General features: G+C 43.8%; 1 protein-coding gene across 2 annotated transcripts in view; it reads left to right on the top strand.

Annotated features, from left to right (window-relative positions):
• Positions 1-22,491, top strand: part of COLEC12 (collectin subfamily member 12) — a 183,965-nt gene that overhangs the window by 9,097 nt on the left and 152,377 nt on the right. The window contains exon 2 of one of the 2 annotated variants that reach the window (NM_130386.3): positions 10,848-10,898. The exons of the other annotated variant lie outside the window; for it this stretch is intronic. Within the exon in view, the coding sequence (NP_569057.2) occupies positions 10,848-10,898 (51 nt within the window). The remainder of the gene's footprint in view (positions 1-10,847; positions 10,899-22,491) is intronic. 2 annotated transcript variants of the gene reach the window in all.

Below are 22,491 nucleotides of genomic sequence, written 5' to 3'. Positions count from 1 at the left end.
TTATTTTGGACCTTAAGGCATAGTAGCTTTTACCACTGCCTCTGTCCTCTTACTTCAAAGAAAATTCATATTTATTAAGCAGATGGTATGTGTTGGATGTTTTCCATGTGTCAGTTCACATTTCCCTCCCCAAAATGTGTGAGATAGGAATCATTGGTTCCAGCTTATAGGAGACTGAGAGGCAGACATGAGCTTATTGCTATTACAAGGTGGAGCCAGTCTTCAAACCCAGGTCTTTGAATTTCAAAGCCCACACATTACCATTAATTCTATCAGCCTCTGGTGTTAGGAAAGAAGTCTTCCAGATATCACAGCAACATCAAGGGGACATTCCAAATATTTAGCAACCCAGGTGACACACTGTGGAAGCCACCATTCCCATATGAAAGCAACTCCTTGGAGCACTGGTCAGTGGAGAGTGACTGTAGACTCAGGGGTCCTGATGGCCCCAGGGATACAGGGGCAAGGACCTGCTACAGTGGGTGGTGGTGACAGTAGAAACAGGGACAGCTTGCAGAAATGCTCAGAGCAGAGGCCATTGTTCTTCAACCAGCTGGTTTGGAAGCACTTAAATATTTTAACAACCAGTGATACCATACCATTTTGTTCTAAGAGTAATGACAAATGTACAAGAGCTGGGAATGGACCCTGGTCTAAACACGATAGAGCAACCAATGGGTACTCATATGTAGACAGCGCCAGTGGGCCAGCATGGAAGAGAAGTCTAACTTCAGCCTAGTCCCTGTCCACGGTCCTTCAGGCTGGCTCCTAAAAATGTCTGCATTTGCTATGATGTTTGGTTTGGCATTTGTTGGAAACCTGCTTTGTGTCAAGTATTGAAGGCTCCAGCTTCAAACTGCGTCTTCTGTGGTTTCAGGTTGAACTCCACACTCTGGCTCTTTGGGGGCATTTTCTGGTTATCTGGTTATCAGTGCTGGTTATCTGTTGGACCTGAATGCTTTTATTTTTGTCTGTCTGACTTTTCCATTCATATAATCTTATTTTGCTTGTTTTACATTATTTCTTATCAAAGTTAGAGATGTACATAGTTTAAAGAGTCAGATAATGTCGTAGGTTTCCTGAAATTCCTGAAATTCTGAAAAACAGCAGTTTCCTACCCAGGCCACCTTCATTTCATTTTCCATTCCCCAGAGGTAACCTCTTGATAACTTTTTTTACCATTTTCTTGTGGCATTTACACCTCTTTCAGTTACCTGCTAATGCCTAAAAAACCATCCCGAAACCCTGTAGCTTAGAACAGCAGCTGGTTTTTTGCTCACAATTCTGCAATTCAGCCTGGACTGGACACGTGGCTGCCCTCAGGAGCCTGGAGAATTACTGGGGGTGGCCGGAATGGCTGAGGGCTCCCTGGCTGGTCTCACGTTTTCCCTGCTCTCATCCTCCAGTGATTCTCTCTCTCCAGGTGGCCTCTAGTTCAGCAGGGGAGGTGAACTTTTCACAGAGCCACTGGCTACCAAGAGTGTAGTCAGAAGCTGAAAGGCCTCTAAGGCCAGGGCCCTGGAGCCACCCACTCCCACTTCCGCCACATTCCATGGGACAGAGCAGGTCATGGGGCCTGCCCAGATTCCAGGGGAAGGAAGTGGACTTGCGCATGGAGGGCTGGAAGGAATTGCTGGTGGTCCTTTATGACGATGATCTGCCATGGCCCCCGTATCTCTCCGTGACATGCTTACAGTGCTCTTGCTTCACTTTTTTTTCATCTTAAGTATTATATACAGACTTCCTTTTATAGCAGAAGAGGGTTTTGTTCTCTTTCACCTTTTACCTTCCCCTAACAACCCTTGCAGGTATCTCCTGTTCCTGTCCACCTTTCTAATACAGTTACAGCGTAATCTCAGATCCACATTCAGTGTTGATATTATTGTGACAATGTCAGTGCGACTCACAGCTGAGTCATGTTTCTTGCATAGCTTTTTGTTTCCCCCCCACGAAGTTAATAATCCTCTTGCTATTTTAGCTCCTCATATATACATCATTATTCATCTCCCAAGTCCCTTCTACTTTCCCAAATCTCTCCTCTGTGTGTTCAAACATATTAGGAATTCTTTCATTTCTATCTTCTCGAAGAAATCTTTTCTGGAGCATTCTGACCAGCTGAGAGTTAGAGTTAGGTTAGGATATATACACACAGACACACCCAGACATGCACACACTCAGACACATGCACACACACTGGGTTTGTTGCTTATTTTAGTGCAGTGCATTCTCCAGTAACTTCCTGAGACAAGTGTGTGTGGGATGTACATTTTTGGGGATTCTGCTGGTCTGCAAAGGTCTTTATGTTACCCCCTCATTGAACTGAGAGCATTCTATATTGGAAATAATTTATCCTTAGAATTTCGAAAGCACTGCTGTATTTACTTTAGCTTCCAACTTTGCTGCTAAATGTGAAGCTGATCTTTTTTTCTTTGTAAAATTCTTATAAATGATCTGTTTTTTTCCTCTGTCTGGAAGCTTTTAGGCTTTTATTTTTGTCTTCAGTGTTCTGAAATTTTATGATGATGAGCCTTGGAGTGGCTGTCTTTCCTTTCTTTGTTCTAGGTAGTGATGGGCCCATTCATCCTGGAAACTCATGTCCTTCAATGCTGGGAAATGTGGTTCACTTACTCCTCCAGTGCTTCCCTCCCTCTGTTCTTTTTCCGGGAAACACCTGTTATATGAACATTGGACCCTCTAAATTGATTTTCTTTTCTTTTTTTTTTCTTTTTTTTGAAACAGAGTCTTGCTCTGTCGCCTAGGCTGGAGTGCAGTGACACAATCTCAGCTCATTGCAACCTCTGCCTCCCAGGTTCAAGCAATTCTCCTGCCTCAGCCTCCCGAGTAGCTGGTATTACAGGTGCACACCAGCACGCCCAGCGAATTTTTGTATTTTTAGTAGAGACGGGGTTTCACCATGTTGGCCAGGCTGGTCTTGAACTCCTGACCTCAGGTGATCCGCCTGCCTTGACCTCCCAAAGTGCTGGGATTATGGGCTGCAAAGTGATCCCAGTGAGCCACTGCACCTAGCCTCTAAATTGATTTTCTAATTTTTCCTTATTTTTACTTTTTTCTATTTATATGCCTTTATTCTACTTTCTGTAATATTTTGACTCCATCTTCCAGCCCTTCCATTGAGATTTATTTCTGTGATCATATTTTTTAATTTCCAAAAGTTCTTTCTTTTTCTCTTTTTTGAGATGGAGTCACGCTCTGTCACCCAGTCTGGAGAGCAGTGGTGCTATCTCAGATCACTGCAACTTCCGCCTCCCGGGTTCAAGTGATTCTCCTGCCTCAGCCTCCCTAGTAATTGGGATTACAGGTATGTATCACTATGCCCGGCTAATTTTTGTATTTTTAGTAGAGACGAGGTTTCACCATGTTGGCCAGGCTGGTCTCAAACTCATGACCTCAAGTGATCCACCTGCCTCAGCCTCCCAAAGTGCTGGGATTACAGGTGTCAGCCACCGTGCCCAGCCCTTTTTCTCTGGTGGTTGCTTTTTTATAGCATCCTGTTTTCCAGATATATTATTTTCTCTTATCTCTGTAAGTGTATTAATGGTATTTGTTTTTTTCTGAGGTATTAATTTTCCTGCATAATGTAGATTTCCTCTCAATTGCTTTATCTGGTTTCTTTATTTTCATCTTTGTCTTTTCATGTTAGAGGTTGTATCAGTTGTCTGATGACCCTCAACTGTCTTATTTAAGAGCAGAACATTACACAGGTCAATTGGAAACTTTTGTGCTGGTGGATTTTGTGAATTGTGACCATCACTCTAAGTTTACCTGGTTGGGCTGTTCCACTGGGAACCTCCTGGAATTAGAACCATTAGTTTATTTTTTTATTAGTTGGTCAAATTCCCCAGAGAAGAACCTTCTAATCTTTACCATGGAGGGGACTTTCTGGCTAAGTGGGAGAAGAGGACTCAGGGTCTGAGCATTCAGTTGGTAAACTTTTGCCTTTCCCCTGATTTCATTACAGTTCCTCTCATTTCCTGTTCCCGGTGTCCACTAGACAAGAGAACTTTTGTTTTAATGTTTCCAAGTAGTAAACCTTGAATCTTCTGCTGTGGTTAGGGAGGGGCAGTCACACAGCTCTTTGGGTGGGCAGCTCCAACTCCTTCTCTTTTTTTCACATACTATACAAATCATCCACTTAACGTGTACAATTCAATGTTTTTTTGTTATATTCACATATTTTTTATTCATCATTATAATCAATTTCAGAAGTTTCACCACCCTAAAAAGAAACCTCTACCCACTAACAGTCACTCCTCAGTTCCCCTCAAAACCACCAGCCCTAGGCAAACATTAATTGCTTTCTGAATCTAGACTTTGCTAATGTAAACATTTCATATAAATTGAATCACACAATGTGTGTGTGTTTTTTTTGTGACTGGCCTCTTTTACTTAGCATAATGTTTTTGAGATTTATCTGTATTGTAGTATGCATCAGTGCTTCATTTTTTATTGCTGAATAATATTCCACTGTATAGACATACCACAGTTTATCCATTTATCAGTCAGTGAACCTTTGGCTTGTCTCCCCCCCTTTTTTTGCTGTTATGAATAATGCTGCTACAAACATTCAGGTGCAGATTTTTGTATGGACATATGTTTTTATTTCTCGTAGGTATAAACCTAGGAGCAGAATTGCTGGATTGTATGGTAACTTTATGTTTAACTTTTTGAGAAACAGCCAGACTGTTTTCCATGGTGGCTGCACCATTTTACATTCCCACCAACAGCATATGAGGGTTCTGATTTCTCCCTATCTTTGCCAACACTTGTTGTCTATCTTTTTGGTTATAGCCAACTGCTTCTTAAACTTATGTTCCAACAGTCCTCCTATTTTAGCCTCACCTTTATTCCCAAATTCCTAAACCTGTTCAGGATTCTGCAATATCAATCATTGCCTCTTAGCTTTCCCGGCTGCTAGCACAGGCTTCAGTTTCATGAGTGTACGGGTCAGTCACCATCATGGTGTGGAACCCCTGAGTCCCACAGACCTGTGTCTTCCTCTTGATCTGGCCACTCATAAGCTGTGAGACCTTGGGTCAAATTAATGTAATTTCTCTGACCCTTGGTTTTCTCATCTGTAAAACAGAAACATAATAAAATGCAGCCAGGTGTGGTGGCTCACACCTGTAATCCCAGCACTTTGGGAGGCTGAGGCAGGCAGATCACTCGAGACCAGGAGTTTGAGGCCAGCCTGACCAACATGGCAAAACTCCATCTCTACTAAACATACAGAAATTAGGCAGGCATAATGGCGCAGGCCTGTAATCCCAGCTACTCTGAGGCTGAGGTGGGAGGATTGCTTGAACCTGGGAGGCAGAGGTTGCAGTGAGCTGAGATGGTTCCACTGCACTCCAGCCTGGATGACAGAGCAAGATTCTGTCTCAAAAAGAAAAGAAAAAGAGAAAGAAAGAAAGAAACATAGTAAAATGTGAAATAGCTGGCATACAGCAGGTACTAAGTATATTAGTCTCCTCTCTTCTGCAAACATGGTGAGTATGCAAAAAGGGAAAGACTTTATCTTTTTCCTTTAGGAATTCATGAACTAGTGGGAAAGAGAGTGACATGTATAACTCTAATTTCCTTAATTTTCAACAACTACTGTTCAGTGCCTATCATGCATCATAAATGTGTTAGTTGTTGAGGGTACAATGTGATGAGTTTCCTGTCTTTAAATGGCTTTCCATATGGAGGAGTCCGAACCAGAACTGGATATAAGGCAGATAGAGTTAAGTGCTGTCACACTGATACAAGGGAGCATACAAGAATGAGAGGTAAATTCTGACTGTAGTGCTAGTGCCCAACTTGGTCCACAGATTGACTGGAACATGTTAATGTGGATGACTCTCAGCTCTAAGCCAACAGAACCAAACTTCACTTGAACTCATGGTTCTCTGAAATAGCAAGGTGCAAAGAATAAATCAGCAGCCAAATTCTGTTCAACATTCTCTGTCATAAAATCTCTGGCCCCAATGTGGCTCTGTGCCAGTTACTGAGGAAAGTAGAAAAAGATAAATAAAAATCACATTTCAAAATAGGTAAGCAAAATATAACATAGCCTGTAGGATTAAAATGAAAATGCAAAAGTTCAGCTGTGGGAGCCAAGAAAATATGAGCTTAAGACAGAATAAATCTTAAACACTTTCTGTCATTTAATATGTTAAGGTTGCTTCTTCCCCGCAGACAGATGGCTGTCAGAAACAGGGATCAAGTTATGACCACTGCAGGACTTAGAGGTCTTAAATCTTAACCAAGTCCTTATTCATGTAGGAGTGTGGCAGTTGTGTGGCTATGACTGTCAGAGATAGACATTGGGAAGTATTAAGTTGCTAAAGAGACTGACCTCAGAAGAATCTCCTTATCTGAGTACATCACTTTTGCAGGCCCCGATACTGTAAAGACAATCTGGGATACAACACATTGAGCTTGGGTCTATATGGTGTGAGGAAAAGGTTTTGAGGACAGAATGTAGCATTGCACATTGTATCAGGCTATTTGTCTTCATGAAAACCTGCCTGTCAGCCCTTGTGGGCCCTAGCATAGCCTTCTGCCCTCTAGCATGTTTTAGTCAATGGGGACACTGACTACTCATTCTCTTTCCCGTGGCTATGGTTGCATGATGTAAATCATCTCCACAACCACAAGCCCCACCAGCTTTACCCTCTTCCTCTTCCTCAAGTCCCTAAACACCCAACTGTTCTATCAGCCTGAATCAGCTGTTTGCTAACTGAGCAGCTGGGAACATCTGGGAGTGGGCCTGGGGGAACACCTAAGCGAGTAAACTGTGCACCAAGCTTTTTCTGCCCTGAATCCACCCAACTCTTAAGGGTAGCAAAAGAGGATTCTAAAGTCAACTTTTGAAAACATTGACTAAAACAAAGTTAACCATTTTTTTTCTTCTCTTTGCATATCTCACAGTCTCTGGTGGTTCCAAAACCATTATGAATTTCCAAGAAAGGGATGTAATATGCAGTGTTTTCCAATCTCTATCCTCGCCCCCAAAAAACAAAAACATTGAGAGAGACTGATTTAAGGCACTTCTGTATAATTGCAGTCAGAAGTAATGTGTGGTAACTTAAACTTGTACCCCTCATGTCTCTTGTGATTTTCTCTCTAATTTTAGAGTTGGATGAGATAGAGACTATTTTATTCTTTTAGTGGCTGTTACAAGAATCCCTAATCCTTTTCGGATGAGGGTTAAGATGAGAAGCAGGGAACCCACCCTGTGCTTTATGATGGGTGGCCTGTGAGGCCTTTGTTTTCTTGAACTCCTCATGGGTTTGGACATGTTAATTTGGAGGTAGAAGCAGGACACAGCTAAATTGCTTTAATAACAAAAATATGTGAAATTTGAAGTTCCCAGGGAAATTTCAGGAAGGAGAGAGAAGTCAGTCAGACTAAATGCTGCATGGGAAAAAGATTAGAGAGGGAAACGAAAACAAACAAACAAACAAGCTAATGGTAGCCCTGCTGAAATGAAGCTTTTGGGGGAGAATAGACATGTCTAATGGGAAATTTGAAGCTGTTTGCTATCAAGGGTGCAGCATGAACCTCCCTTCTTGTTTCCACTGTGACATCTTCAATGATGTTTCTGTGGCCCACAGTGCCTAAGTGTGAGTGGATTCTGCTGCAGAGGTGGCACAGTGGTGGAAAGGATAGAGCTGGCCAAGGGCACGGATGTCTGGGTACCACTGATGCTGATATTCATGTCTCATCAACTCCGCTAGGCTGTAAGCATGTGTTTATTGAATGAATGAAAAAACAAACGAATGGATATCTAAGCAGACGCAGCAGGTCAGCGTTTCTCTTAAATGGAGAATAGACGAGGCTGCAGCCATTAACACGACAGATTACCACATCAAGCATTAATAGGACAGATTAGTAAGTAAAGCAGGAACAGAGCATGGACTTGATGTGTGTTTGTGGAGGTAGCCAATCACTGAATCAGAGAAAAAGATGCTGTTCTCTTGGTTGTAGGCAAGTTCTTCCATTCAGAAAGAATTAAAGCTTAAATCCCTGCCATAAGAAAACCACTTTGAGTATAAATACCTGGCCTTCTAGATTCCAAACCAAGATCTCTTCCCTTTCTGCAGAATAAGGAGACAATGGTGAAATACAAAGATATCACACCTCTCTGTTTTCTGTTAGAAATAACCACTGTCTCACATGTGATTTTTTTTTTTTTTTTTTGAGACGGAGTCCCACACTCTGTCGCTCAGGCTGGAGTGTAGTTGGCGTGATCTTGGCTCACTGCAAACTCCACCTCCTGGATTCAAGTGATTCTGCCTCAGCCTCCCAAGTAGCGGGGATTACAGGCACCTGCCACCACGCCCGGCTAATTTTTATATTTTTAGTAGAGATGGGGTTTCGCCATGTTGGCCAGGCTGGCCTCAAACTCCTGACCTCAGGTGATCCACCCGCCTCAACCTCCTAAAGTGCTGGGATTACAGGCATGAGCCACCACGCTACAGCATCACATGTGATTTTATAAATACATTGTAACAAACAAGTATTCTGAGCTTCACCACATTGTGTTTATAGATAGCATACATCTTGGGTTCTCCATAACATTTCAAGGTTCAGATATAGCTAGATCATGTCTCTTTTGGGGATTGAAAAAGACTATCACAGAGGCTTCATTTCCCCTATATGCCTCTCTTTCTTGAAAGCCAAGATTGGGTGGGCACGGTAGCTCACATCTGTAGTCCCAGCACTTTGGGAGGCCGAGGCGGGCGGATCACCTGAGGTCAGGAGTTCGAGACCAGCCTGCCCAACATGGTGAAACCCCATCTCTACTAAAAATACAAAGAATTAGCTGGGCGTGGTAGTGGGCGCCTGCAATCCCAGTTACTTGGGAGGCTGAGGCAGGAGAATCGCTTGAACCCAGGAGGCGGAGGTTGCAGTGAGCCAAGATCACACCACTGCACTCCAGCCTGGGCGACAAGAACAAAATTCTATCTCAAAAAACAAAAGAAAGTCAAGATAAAGGACCATGACTTACTCACCTCTGAAGCCACAGCCTGGCAGTCTCTGTCATGGTGAGTGCTAACAACATGCCTTTGAGCTGAGTTGCCTGTGAGAGAAAGTTGTGTGCTGGGGCAGTAATGGACCCAGTCAGACAGGGTCCCCTAGAAAGGCCTGGCTTTGGCACCTCTTACTTGTCATCAAAAAGTGTTGGCCGGGCACGGTGGCTCATGCCTGTAATCCCAGCACTTTGGGAGGCTGAGGTGGGTGGATCACCTAAGGTCAGGAGTTTGAGACCAGCCTGACCAATATGGTGAAACCTCATCTCTACTGAAATTACAAAAATTAGCGGAGGGTAGTGGCGGGTGCCTGTAATCCCAGCCTCAGAAGGCTGAGGCAGGAGAATCACTTGAACCCAGGAGGTGGAGGTTGCAGTGAGCCGAGATCGCGCCACTGCACTTCAGCCTGAGCAACAGAGCGATATTCCATCTCAAAAAAAAAAAAAAAGTGTTCCTCCTGGACAGTAGCCACTGGGGCCTACTTGTGGATGAAGGGTGAGAGGAGGATGGGAATTGAAAAACTACGTGTCGGGTGCTATGCTCACTACGTGGGTGATGAAAGAATCTGTCCACCAAACCCCCACAACCCACAATTTACCCATGTAGCAGACATGCACATGTACCCCCGGAACCTAAAATAAAATTTGGAAAGAAAAAAAAAAGTGTCCTTTAGTTGTGCAATTAATATGAAATTGTGTCTGCACAGTGCTTGCCCTTCCTGGACCTTTACCTGGCAGAACTGTAAATGAGCAGTTCTTTAGAGATGTAATAAGGAATCTCATGTCTACTTTAGGAATGAGATTTTAGGTCTTTTGGTAGAAAGGTTGGGTGATAAAACATCTCTCCCTCTCTTTTTTTTTTGGAGGTGTAGTTTCATTCTTGTTGCCCAGGCTGGAGTTCAATGGCACGATCTTAGCTCACTGCAACCTCAGCCTCCCAGGTTCAAGCGATTCTCCTACCTCAGCCTTTCAAGTAGCTGGGATTACAGGCACGTGCCACCACATCTGGCTAATTTTGTATTTTTAGTAGAGATGGGGTTTCACCATGTTGGCCAGGCTGGGCTCGAACTCCTGACCTCAGGTGATCTGCCCACCTTGGCCTCCCAAAGTCCTGGGATTACAGCCATGAGCCACTGCGCCCGGCCGACATCTCTCTTCTTTCCATGGTGGGTATGCATTTAGGAATTTCCACAGTAAGGCTGCCTTTTGAAACACATTTACTGCGAAACCATCGGTTGGTCCCAGTTACCCATCGGAAGGAGGGTGGGAAGGGTTTGGTTGTCACTGCAGGAGTTATGTCGGCTCCTGAGAGGCAACAGTTAGTGAAGGAGATGACCCCAGAGCCCAGACATTTAAAAACAGGGGCTTTAGGGTGAGTTGCCTAAAGATAACTTAACCCCTTTGGCGGTCGATTATTTCTGTGAGCAGAAAAAGTTTCTGTTCACAGGAAGCATGATGACAACAGTAAATTCACGCACACATGTGAGGAAGATATCAGAGAGAAACATTGAATTAGTGTAGCGTGGCAGGGAGTGGCCGGGTGGTCCAGAAAGGCATCTCGAAGGGTCGCACTTTAGCTAAGACCTGAATTCGAAGGAGTCACATTAGGAACAGAGGAAGTGCATCCCAAGCAGCAGGAGCAGCCAGGGTGGAGACCCCTGCCGCCTCTTCCAGAAAGCCTGGTGCGATCCACGAGCAGAAGGAAAGCTGCTGTGACAAGCAGGGGCGATGAAGCAGGTCGCATCCTGCCCCACCCTCTGCTTCTGTGCCCCTTGCCAGGATTAACATCGTGTCTCTTCTTCTCTCACAGACGACTTCGCAGAGGAGGAGGAGGTGCAATCCTTCGGTTACAAGCGGTTTGGTGAGTCCTAACAAAGCTGTGTTCCTTCTCAGTGGTCAACCTGGGATGCAGCCACGAACCCTCAGAGACCATTGGCAGGCCACTGGCAGGCCCTTCATGCACATGGGTGTTTGTGGCTCTGAGGTCCAATTTTGGTTGGAAAGTGAGTGTCTGTGTCCCAGGGGGAGGGTTTCTCACAATTCTGAGGGGCCATGGGACAGGAGCTGCACCCAGGCATGGGGAAGTGATGGGATGTTCATGGGTCTGCTGAATGGAAAAGAGACAGCCTACTAGACAAAGTGTAGCGGGAAAGGCAAATCTGTGACAAGACAACAGCAAAATACCTGAAATTTTTCAGTTTTGTTATTCAGAAAACGTCTTTGCTCAGGCCTTACACTCCTAACCCAGTGTTCATGGATGAGTGAGAGGGAGACTTCTTCCAAGAATCTGCCTGGACACAGGGGCTCTGTGGCAGGCTGGGGAATGGCCCCCAAAGGTGACAGCACCCTGAATCCTGAAACCTGAATGTTACCTTATGTGGCACAAAGGACTTTGTAGGTGTGATTAAGTTGAAGAGCTTGAGATGGGGAGATGATCCTGGGTTACCTGGGTGGGCCCTGAAAGCCATCACAAGCGTCCTTGTAAGAGAGAGGCAGAGGGAGATGTGACTGCAGAGAGAAGGTGATGTGAGGATGGAAGCAGAGATTTTTGTTATGTTCTCTGGTCAAGGAATATAGGTGGCCATTAGAAGCTAAAAATGCAAGGGCATTAATGGATTCTTCCTTCAGAGCCTCAGGAGGGAGAGCTGTATACTCCCCATATTTATATTTCAGCTGGCTGAAGGTGATTTTAGGCCGCTGGCCCCCAGAACTGTAAGAGGAGAAATCTGTATTGTTTAAGCCAGCACGTTCGTGGTAACCTTTTACAGCAGCCGCAGGAAACTCATACACACCCTCTGCCTCCCAGGCTGCTGCACCTGGTGCTCTTCTTTGCTTTGACCTTGCTTCTCTTTGACCTTGAAATGCCAGTGGTCATTGCAGAGTTTCAAAGGCAGCTCCAGGGATTGGAGGATTTTCCCAACAGCTTGTTTCTGTGCTTGGCCAGAGGAAATGGAGAAGGATAGAGGAGAAAAGAGTGTGTGTGAGTGAGTGTGTGTGTGCGTTTCTGTGTGTGTGTGAGAGAGAGAGAGAGAGAGAGAGAGTATGAAAATGAATGAATCTACTTCCTGTTGCTTAAAAAAAGTCCTGGCTGGACTTTGATTAGAATTAACAACCCCCAGCTGCTCTGCCTCCCGCGTTGCTTTAGCATTTTTCCTTCTGGACACACACGTCTGCATTACTTTCTGGGAAAACATATGACTTTAAAATAGGAATGCAGTGGCACCAAGCTCATCTCTCCTGCGTTGGTTCCCTGGCAGAGCGGCCCGCGTGCAGCCCCGTCGCCCCTCCTCCGTGCTCCTGTTCCCCATCTACACGATTCCATGTTTCTGCGATGAGACCATGGTCCTGTGTTCTTTCCCGGGGGGGACGCACTGAAGGCAGCAGTAGGAGTGAAGATGAAACCAAGAATTATAAAGGAAAACAAACAAAAAAACACAGAAAGATAGGAATCAAGAGGAAAACCAAACTTGTCAAAATAAGGCAAAATAAATGTGGAGATGCCTACATGTTTTGGCAATCAGTAGAAATATGAAGAACCAAGAGAGAAAGTCTCTTTAGAAAGGGTGACCTTGAGAGAAAATTTTTTATAAATTTCTCAGCCATATTACCAGTTGGATGGGTTGGGGATTTGGTGAAAAACACACAAAAAAGTACATTTATGCGTGGGAGTTGCAACGGATGACTCACAGGAGACATGGTAACCACTTACAAATATTAGAGAGCACAAACAGAGGCTGGAAGAGAGTGATGCCAAGCGGTACAAATAGAAGAGAAGGACGAAATTAAAATGGGAAACCTTGGAATAGTCTATGAAAGAGACATTCCTGATGCTGAGAATTCTTGGATTCAGCCTCTAGGCAAGGCGATGGATATCCAGCATAGGACCAGAGTAGATCTTTGCAGATGGAAGAGTCTTTGAGGTGTTTTTTGTGTTTTATTTTATTATTTTAGTTTTGAGACAGAGTCTTGCTCTGTCATTCAGGCTAGAGTGCAGTGGTGCAATCGTAGCTCACTGTAACCTTGAATTCCTGGGCTCAAGCAATCCTCCTGCCTCAGCCTCTCAAGTAGCTGGGCCTACGGGTATGTGCCACTATGTCCAGCTAATTTTTAAATTTTTTGTAGAGACAATGTCTTACTATCTTGCCCCAGCTGGTCTTGAACTCCTGGGCTTAAGCAATCCTCTAGCCTCAGCCTCCCAAAATGCTGAGATTACAGGCGTGAGCCACTGCACCCAACTTAGATGATTTAACTCTCCCTTTGTTTTCACCTATAAGGGAGCTGAGGCCCAGATAGATTAAGTCCTTGCTGAAGCAAGTTAGTTGGAGCTGGGGTTAGAAGATTCTGGATCTTCTAACTCTCAGGATAATGTCGTTTTGGGGAAGGGCTCAGCAGTGAAGTGAAGTGGAGCTGACCTTTCAACTTCTGTGTTGTGGAGGGGGACCCTGCAGCTCTGGAACCCTAAAGTGGACTGGACACCCAATCTGGTTCCACTGGGGAGGCCTCATCATGGTTATAGGGCTAGGACTCTGATTCTTTAGAAGGTAAATGAGTTTTCAGTTCCTAAGAAGTGGCCAGTTGAATCCAGCAGGACCCAAGAACCCATTTCTTCAGGCATGGTTAAACTTTAACCATTGAAGGAAGACCAAGTCCCTTCCATGCAGCAGGTTGATAGTAAGGTGGTAAGTGGAAGGTGTCCAGAGACATGTCAACCCTCTAGGTCCTGCCCCTAATCACTCCTGTGTCTTGAAACCAGCTACTTAAACTCAGTGGGTGTCAGATGCTGCCTCTGCCCAACCAGCAGGGGGACACCTGCCAACGTAGGTGAGTCTACCTCACAGGGCTTTGGTGAGGTTAAGAGAGATGTCAGATGGATGGACAAGTGCTTTGAAGTTACAACACTATAAAAACACAGGACTGTATTATCACTCTCCCGAGATTTGGGGCTGTTAGCACTCTCTCAATGTTTTGGTACAGCCACTGCAGAATATCAAAGTGTGACAGACCTGAAAACTTACTCCTGAAGAAATGTAAAGGTGTGATTTTCTTCTAAAGACGGTAACATTGTAGCCTTTTATAGTTGCAAAAATAGACTGGGTGACATAGAGGGTTTACTTATTGTTTAATTTTAGGTATATATTGCTTATGCAAGTATGATAAACACAACCCGAATTTAGACTACAGAAGAGCCCGAGGTCAGTTATTCACAGGGCAAAGGAGCCATTGTTTTAGCAAATCACTACTGGGTGGGCCTGTTTCTGAAGTTATTCATATAGAGAGTTATTATTCAGAGGTGTTTGCTACATAAAGTCAAGGCTGTTTACATAATAATATTGTGCTTTTTCAAATTTAGCATACTATTACAGTAAAGAGCAAAATGCACGATCTTCTGCAGTGATCTAGCATGGTATTGTATTTGGTGCAGTCACCCCTTGTTTACTCAGGGATTCATTATTGCATTTTAGTCTCAACCAGGTCTTCTGTTTTTCTTCAGTCTTTCCATATACCAAGCTTGTTCAGCCCCGTTCCCAAAGTTCTGGGCAGGTGTCTAAAGAGGAGATGGAGTTTGGTCTGATGGTTTTGTCACTTCTTTGCTCCTCTGACAAAAGCGTCAATGAGGGGAGACTTTGAAGGGTTAATTAAGTGAGCATTTTCAAGCTTTAATCAGGCTTTGAGGGTCAGCGTTTCTTGGCCTCAGTATGCAGAGCTAATTGGGACGTAACTATAGTTACAATTTGGCAGAGTTCATTTTCTGGGACATGAGGCACCAGTATATTTTTATTTTCCATAGATATGATATGTACTACCACGAAAGTGATATTTGTCTATTTATTTCCCAGTTACCTGTTTCATTAAAAGCATCACACGTGGCTCTAGAATCCTTTATTATTATGCTTAGCAGAAAGGGAAAGAGAGGCAGCACCACCTGCATGGCCTGGGCCCTCCCTCTGGAGCCTGCATTCTCCCTTTCTGCACTGGGGCGGGGGCGCTAGACTGACTTTGTTTCATTGATTGGTCGCAATGGGTTCTCTTCTGTTATTTTTGGAATCTGATCCGGTATGATAATAGACGTCCAAAGTTAGGATGATGGAGAAGCAAGAGATACATGGTTCAGCCTGTGAAAATCACGGGTGGAGTTAAGGGTTTCCAGTGAGCAACTGTGGGCAGCTGGGAACATTTGTTGTTTGTATTTGACAAACAAAGCTTTGACAGAATTGCTTCTTTGGGGCTCAGGCATAGGAATTATTAATAGCTATGAGAGTAAAAGATCTGAATAATGGCAAACTGTGAAACAGTAACAAGAAAGTAAAAGGAAGCATTCTCTATGGAGTAGATTCAAGTTTCTTTTTTTGGTAAAAACTAAGTGGGAGAGTTCTAAGGGGATTGCTGAAAAATTATTTAGGGGTTACAGTCCAAAACGGGGTATCAGATGTCTTTTCCTCTGAGATCAGTAAGTGTGTTCTTTGAAGCATGTCCTTGAATAGTTTTGTTTATCCACAACTTCACAGGTCTCTCTATAGCTATAGCTTCAAACAAGCCAGGCTTTAACTTTCCCCTTTCTTTCCTCAAAAAATAGTTGCAGATTAGCAAGTATATTTTTAACAGTTTGGCCCACACGGTGCCGAGCATGTCGAAGCAGCCTGAGAAATCTGTGTTGAAGGGAACCCAGCCCTGCCTCTCAGTGCCCCTGCCTCATGCCTTGCCATCACCGTTCCCTCCTTCCAAACCCAGCCTCCAAAGAGATAAACACATGGAACTTTAAATTCATGGCTCCAGTTAAATTATTGAGCTGTTTCTTGCCAAGAGGTTTAGAGAAACTAATGTCTAAAAGCATAGAGGACTACTGAGGCTTCTGAAAAATCACAGCACGGATATGCTTAACCGTATAGCCAGAAAGGAAGGTTCTTTCTGAGGCACATGGCGAGTGTCTGCTTTTAATGCCAAGAGATTGGAAGAGTTTACCAAGAGGATGCCAAACTCTCTTTGGGAAGCTGCTCAAGATAAACACTTGGATGCCTCTACTTCTTGTTGCTGGGCTTTTACGGGGCAGGCTGCCTGTCTCCCCTCTGCTGGGACTCTTCCTGGAAGCCTGGCTTCATCTTCTAATTTGGACAAGGTGTTGATTTGAAGCCATCTATCTCCGACAACAAGGAGGGCTCCAGGCATCCCTCTCACCGCAGCCCTGCAGAAAGCTGACCCATTCCCTGATGGGAATGCCAGGAATTTCCATCATTTCCTGTGGGGAACGACTGAGTAAGCACAGTGAGAGGCTGTCCTTCCAGAGGCACCTTTTCCAAACATTTCTAAGTGAGGCACAGGACTGACACTGGGAGGAAGGTGAAGGGCAAGGGAACAGTGGAACTCGGTGCTCCTGGTGGGGTTTCTTTGAAATGTCCAAAACCATTTGCATCAAGTTAAGGGGAGAGTTTCATTTATGTGGTTTTACAAATCCTAATTGAGTTGGTATTTCTGAATTTATTTATTTATTTATTTTTGAGACGGAGTTTAGCTCTTGTCGCCCAGGCTGGAGTGCAGTGGCGCGATCTCGGCTCACTGCAACCTCCGCCTCCCGGGTTCAAGTGATTCTCCTGCCTCAGCCTCCTGAGTAGCTGGGACTACAGGCGCCGCCACCGAGCCCAGCTAACTTTTTTGTATTTTTAGTAGAGACGGGGTTTTATCCTGTTGGCCAGGCTGGTCTTGAACTCCTGACCTTGGGTGATCCGCCTGCCTTGGCCTCCAAAACTGCAGGGATTACAGGCGTAGCCACCACCCCTGGCCTCTGATTTAATAAGAATTCGGTGTCAAAATGGCATGTGAGGAACTCAGTGCAAAAGAGATTCTCAGGCTGACAGAGCTGGAAGGGGAGTCACAGAGTAGCTCTTTATCTGGCCCCTGTATCCTCTGCTTCCAGGCAGGCAGGTGGAGCTCCTAAACGCCGAGAAAGGGAGTTCCTTGGCTGTCACTGCTTTTTATATAAACTGAGGAGATTTCATAATCTTTATCACCATACATGATAACCACAGGCTCCTTTGGCAACACCATGCACCTAGGTTTCCCTTCTTCCTGCCAAGAGGACTTCTCACTGGTTAGGTCAGACCCTCCTTGCCTTGTCTTTCCTGCCCATCAGTAAAAAAAAGATTCAACACCACATTCCATGTGATTATGATCTGTTTTAAACCATGTGAAGAGAAAGTCGTGTGAAAGAAACCATTAAACGCTCCTTCGTGGATATCTATTATGTGCCAGGTGATTTCCCACCCATTAGTTCATTGAATTCCCCCAGAAACCCTTTGAGGTGGGAATTATATGTGGTTTACAGGTGAGAGCCAAAGCTCCCAAGGTTGGTAGCATGGCCAATGTTGGAGTTAAGCCTGATTTCAGGCCTCAGTGTTCTTTCTGCTCTACTTGTGACTGGGAAGCTCACAGACACGGCCATACTCCAGCATCCCAAAATTTTTAATGGAAAAGCAAGTCATCATAAATGATCCTGCACTAAATCAGCAGCTGTTGATATGGTCTTATATTTCACAATTTCATAATATGTGTCATATTGAACACTGGAGCCCTGAATTTTCCACCATTTAAAGTATAACTCCTCCTCCCCACTCTCTCTGGTTTTCATTCACTTATGAATCCTGGTAGGGCTGTGGGAAGGAGAAGGGTGGGATAATTTGTTTTTCCAACAATTGGGTTGAAACTGAATGTGGTTTGTTTTTATTTTTGGAAAAGTTAAAGAAAAAAAAAATCTACTCAGCTCTGTTTTGGTTAAGACAGCATGAAGACATTTAGGTTGTTTCCAGTGTTTGTTGTTGAGGGGTAGAGTGGGAAAGAGTTTCCCTTTTGGTAGCAACTGCAAGCAACTTAAGACAGACAGACTCTGAAACGTTTCTTAAAAGATATGAGTTGAGGCCGGGCGCTGTGGCTTACGCCTGTAATCCCAGCACTTTGGGAGGCCGAGGCGGGTGGATCACCTGAGGTCAGGGGTTCGAGATTAGCCTGACCAATGTGGAGAAACCCTGTCTCTACTAAAAATACAAAATTAGCTGAGCGCTGTGGCACGCGCCTGTAATCCCAGCTTCTCGGGGAGGCTGAGGCAGGAGAATCACTTGAACCTGGGAGGCGGAGGTTGCAGTGAGCCGAGATCACGCCACTGAACTCCAGCCTGGGCAACAGAGCGAAACTCCGTTTCAAAAAAATAAAAAAAAGAGATTTGAGCTGTTCATTTGGAGGCCCCTTGGGAAGAGGAAAGCTGTCCTTGGGCCATGGATTTTGAGAAAAAACTACGATCCTCTGCAAAGTTGTGAACTGGAGTGATTCTTTTTCTCTCTCACGTTCTCCCTGGGGCCCTTTGTGTTCAGTCTACACTGTGGGCTTGCGGGGGAGGTGGTGCCCAGGAAGCAAGTCTTTCGAGTGAGACAGTCCTGATTCACATACTGGTTTTGTCTTTTACTAGCTAAGCCTCATTTTGTGTATCTGTGAAATGGGTATGACAAGTATATAGTGTGTATTCTTTGGAGGATTGATATTTTATTATTGATATTCTATATATTGATATTATAAAACCATAATATATATGGGGGCCAGGTATACAGTAGGTCTGCACTAAATTGTGGCTATTATTAAACTGCTGACTGCTCCCACCCCTCCCACTCTGCTCTTTCCTCTCTCCCAGGTGCTCCAGGTCTCCCCTTGTGAAGCCCAGCAGTCCTCATTCTCTCTGATCCTTCTCACCTTATTCCCTCCCTCCCTCAAAATCTTACTGCCCTCCCTCCTATATTCTGTGCCCTGCAGCAGCCTAGTAATTTGTTCAGGGAATTCCAAAGGAGTCTATTTTCTTTTCTTCTGTTGTTTTCCTTCTTCTTCTTCTTTTTTTTTTTTTTTTTTTTTTTTTGTCACAGGGCCTCACTCTGTCACCCAGGCTGGAGTGCAGTGGTGCCATCACTGCAGCCTTGACTTCTGGGCTTAGGCGATTCTCTCACCTCAGCCTCCCAAGTAGCTGGGACCACAAGCACATGCTACCACTCTAGGCCAATTTTTAAAAAAATTTTTTTCTGTAGAGATGGGGGTCTCATTATGTTTCCTAAGCTGGTTTCAAACTCCTGGCCTCAAATGACCATCGTGGCCCCAGCCTCCTAAAGTGCTGAGATTGCAGATGTGAGGCACCACGCCTGACCAGGAGTCTATTTTCTTGAAGGACATTTTAAAAAGTGGAAAGGGTTGGTGGCCATCAGTAAAGAATAATACTTTTAAGGAAGGTAGCATACTGAGGGGTTGGAGCAGCTTCCATGGAGAGCTGACCTGTCATCGTGGCTAAGAGAATGTATGCTGGAGCCAGACTGCCTGGGTTCAGTTTCCAGCTTTGCCAGTTACGAGTGAGTAGCCTTGGGCGACTTAGCCTCTCTGTGCCTGAGCGTCCTCCTCTAGAATACAGGGATAACTGTATTGTCTGCCTGTAGGGTTCTTGTGAGAACTAAATGAGTTAATACTCAGAGTAGTGCCTTGCACCTAGAATACGTACATAATCCATACAAGATGGATGTAATGTATGTATTATGAAAAGTAGCACAAATGGGCACAAGGTGGCTACAGTGTGTCCAGGCTTTGTTTCAGTGCCTTTTTTTTAGAGGCAAAGCAGCTTTCCCAGGGGCCTTCTGTCTACTTTCCCTGTCATCTCATTGACCAACGTTGAGTCACAAGTCCTTTTCGAAATTAGTTATGTACAAAGGGAATGGGCTGTCTCTGGTTGGCTTGGACTAATTACTTGGGGAGGAATGGTTGGTGAGGAATTAAGCACTTTAGCCACTATTATTACTTGTAACAATAATATCTATAATATATAATGTAATATCATTATATTTCAAATGTAATACTAAGTTATACAAAATTATTAAAAAGCAACAATTTATATTATTATTTATATAATCTGATATACTATTATTTATAATTTGTTTCACTTTTAAAATTATTTTATATAAACTTTAAAAATTCGATTTATTCATAAAATAATTACAAGTTTACTTCCTAATTGTAACTTTGCTATAAATGAAGCTACAAGGTGCTGTTCTAGTTTTTGACAGTTTATAAAAAGAGAAGACATCAAAAACAAGACATCAGCATAATAGAGAAGTGAATGAATGAACAAAAGTCATTTTGTTTTCTGGCTCAGTATTCTCTATAGTCTTAAGCAGATTTTGAAGAAAAAAAATTTGGAAGAGGAACTAAAAAAAAAAAGAAAAAAAATGAGAAAGTTCCAAATCTTAGTGAATACAGCTCTTGCCACAATGAAACATTGTGAAATTGGTCTCCTGGTCTGAGTCATCACTATAAACGCTTTCTGCTTCTTCTGATATTTTATTTTTATTCTTTTATAGGTTTTTGAATACTGACATTTGGCCGTGATTGACACATGCTCCTCTTTTTATACACTCTGGTAGTTGTATTTTTTTATAAGTGTGAATATTTCCATGCACAGATCAATTTCTTTCACATGTTGCAGAAGGTGCAGGAATTTAGACTTGTCAGGAAAACAAGAGAATCAAACTCAGAAGTCTGCAAAGGTTCTGGCAGAAATCCAGACTGCATTCTTATTCCCAAGGCCTGAAGATGCCCTGTAATCTCTAATATTTGAAATAACCTTTCTAACATGTCGTTCTCATTCTGTGAAACGGGAAAATATAAAAGTAAAATTATTGCTGACATGTAAGATCTCAAACCTTCAACCTAAGATCAGTATTTCCACAGCAGTTTAAATATGTAAGAAATAACTATATTGTTCCCCTTGTTAAAAGCATCTGGATGTTTAGTTCGTTGTTTTAGAGACAAGGTCTTACTCTGTCACTCAAGCTAGAGTTCAGTGGCATGATCATAGCTCACTGCAGCCTTGAACTCCTGGACTCAGGTGATTCTCCCACCTCAGCCTCCTGAGTAGCTAGGAATACAGGCGTATATCACCATGCCTGGTTAATTAAAAAAAAATTTTTTTTTTTTTAGAGACAGGGTCTTGCTACATTGCCCAGGCTGGTCTTAAATTCCTGGCCTCTGGGGTGGTGGCTCACACCTGTAATGCCAGCACTTTGGGAGGCCAAAGGGAGTGCATCACTTGAGGTCAGGAGTTTGAGACCACCCTGGCCAACATGGTGAAACCCCATCTCTATTAAAAACAAAAAAAAAATTAGCCGGGCATGGTGGTGGGCCCCTGTCATCCCAGCTGCTTGGGAGGCTGAGGCAGGAGAATTGCTTGAACCTGGGAGACGGAGGTTGCAGTGAACCAAGATTGCACCACTGCACTCCAGCCTGGGAGACCGAGCGAGACTCCGTCTCAAAAAAAAAAAAAAAAAAAAAAAAAAAAATTTCCTGGCCTCAAGTGATCCACCTACCTTGGCCTTCCAAAGTGTTGGGATTACTGGTATAAGCCATTGCACCCTGCCTGATAAAAAATATTAAGATATAATGATTGTCCCACCTCATGGTTTACATAGAAGTCTTATGATTGAATTGCTTTTGGAAATAATTGAGGGGAAATATGAATACTTATAATTCTGATACACATTCACCAAATGCCTTCCATATGCCATGAACTGTGGTACAAAGATGGATAAAACAAAATTCCCACTTGATCATTTTATTTGCCAACATCAATACTTATTAATTCATCTTGTTTCAATTTCTTGGAAAACAAAAGTTATAAAAAAAAAATCTTTATGGAAGTAAAAATTTTCTCCTAAAGATGTCCATGCTGGCAGTGAGGCCTCATCAAAGGCTTCCCAAACAGAGTCATAGAGTATATGTAGAATCAGAAGCTCCCACTTTGTGCTGAAAATGATAGGAAGTAGGGTGTCAGGGATCCACATATAAATTCTGCAGGTGTGAGTAAAAAACCAGTAAAACAGTTGGGGGCGGGGGAGTCCATTAGCCCAGGGAAGAAGTGAGTGCAACATTCATGGAAATTTGGGGAAGAGATGCAGGCCTTCAGCAGTTCCCTTTTCTTGGGAGATGTATGCACCTCATGAGGCTTGTTGAGAAATAGAAGCAAGCAGGACTCTTGGGAAAGGGTCATTCTTAGTCCTGCATATCAAAGTGATGTGACGTTTACTACCTATCCATAATGTGTTGGACACCATGGACAATAAAGAGGAGAGACGTGGCCTTTTGCCTCTGGGAATTTCACATGTAATAAAAAATAGATTTTTCAAACAGCGGTGTATTTGCATAAAAGAAAAATATCAGCCAACCTACAAACTGCCTCCTCTCTCACCCGCAGAATTTCCACAGGCACAATAGAGGGCACTACGTGCCAGATGTACTGTGAGCCCTCTCTTCCTTCTGTCTGGTGGTGTTCTAGGTTCAGTACTGGCAAAGCTTCAATGGTTTCCAAATAAGGTCGGGAACGCCCCTCTGCCCCCACCTCTTTCCGTCTGTGCAAGTGAAGAGAACTTGTATGAAGTCCCTTTCCTTTG

Source organism: Homo sapiens, chromosome 18 (genome assembly GCF_000001405.40).
Source record: "Homo sapiens chromosome 18, GRCh38.p14 Primary Assembly".
Lineage (NCBI taxonomy): Eukaryota > Metazoa > Chordata > Mammalia > Primates > Hominidae > Homo > Homo sapiens.
The sequence above is the reverse complement of the archived record's forward strand: the minus strand, read 5'-3'. Positions and strand labels throughout refer to the sequence as shown.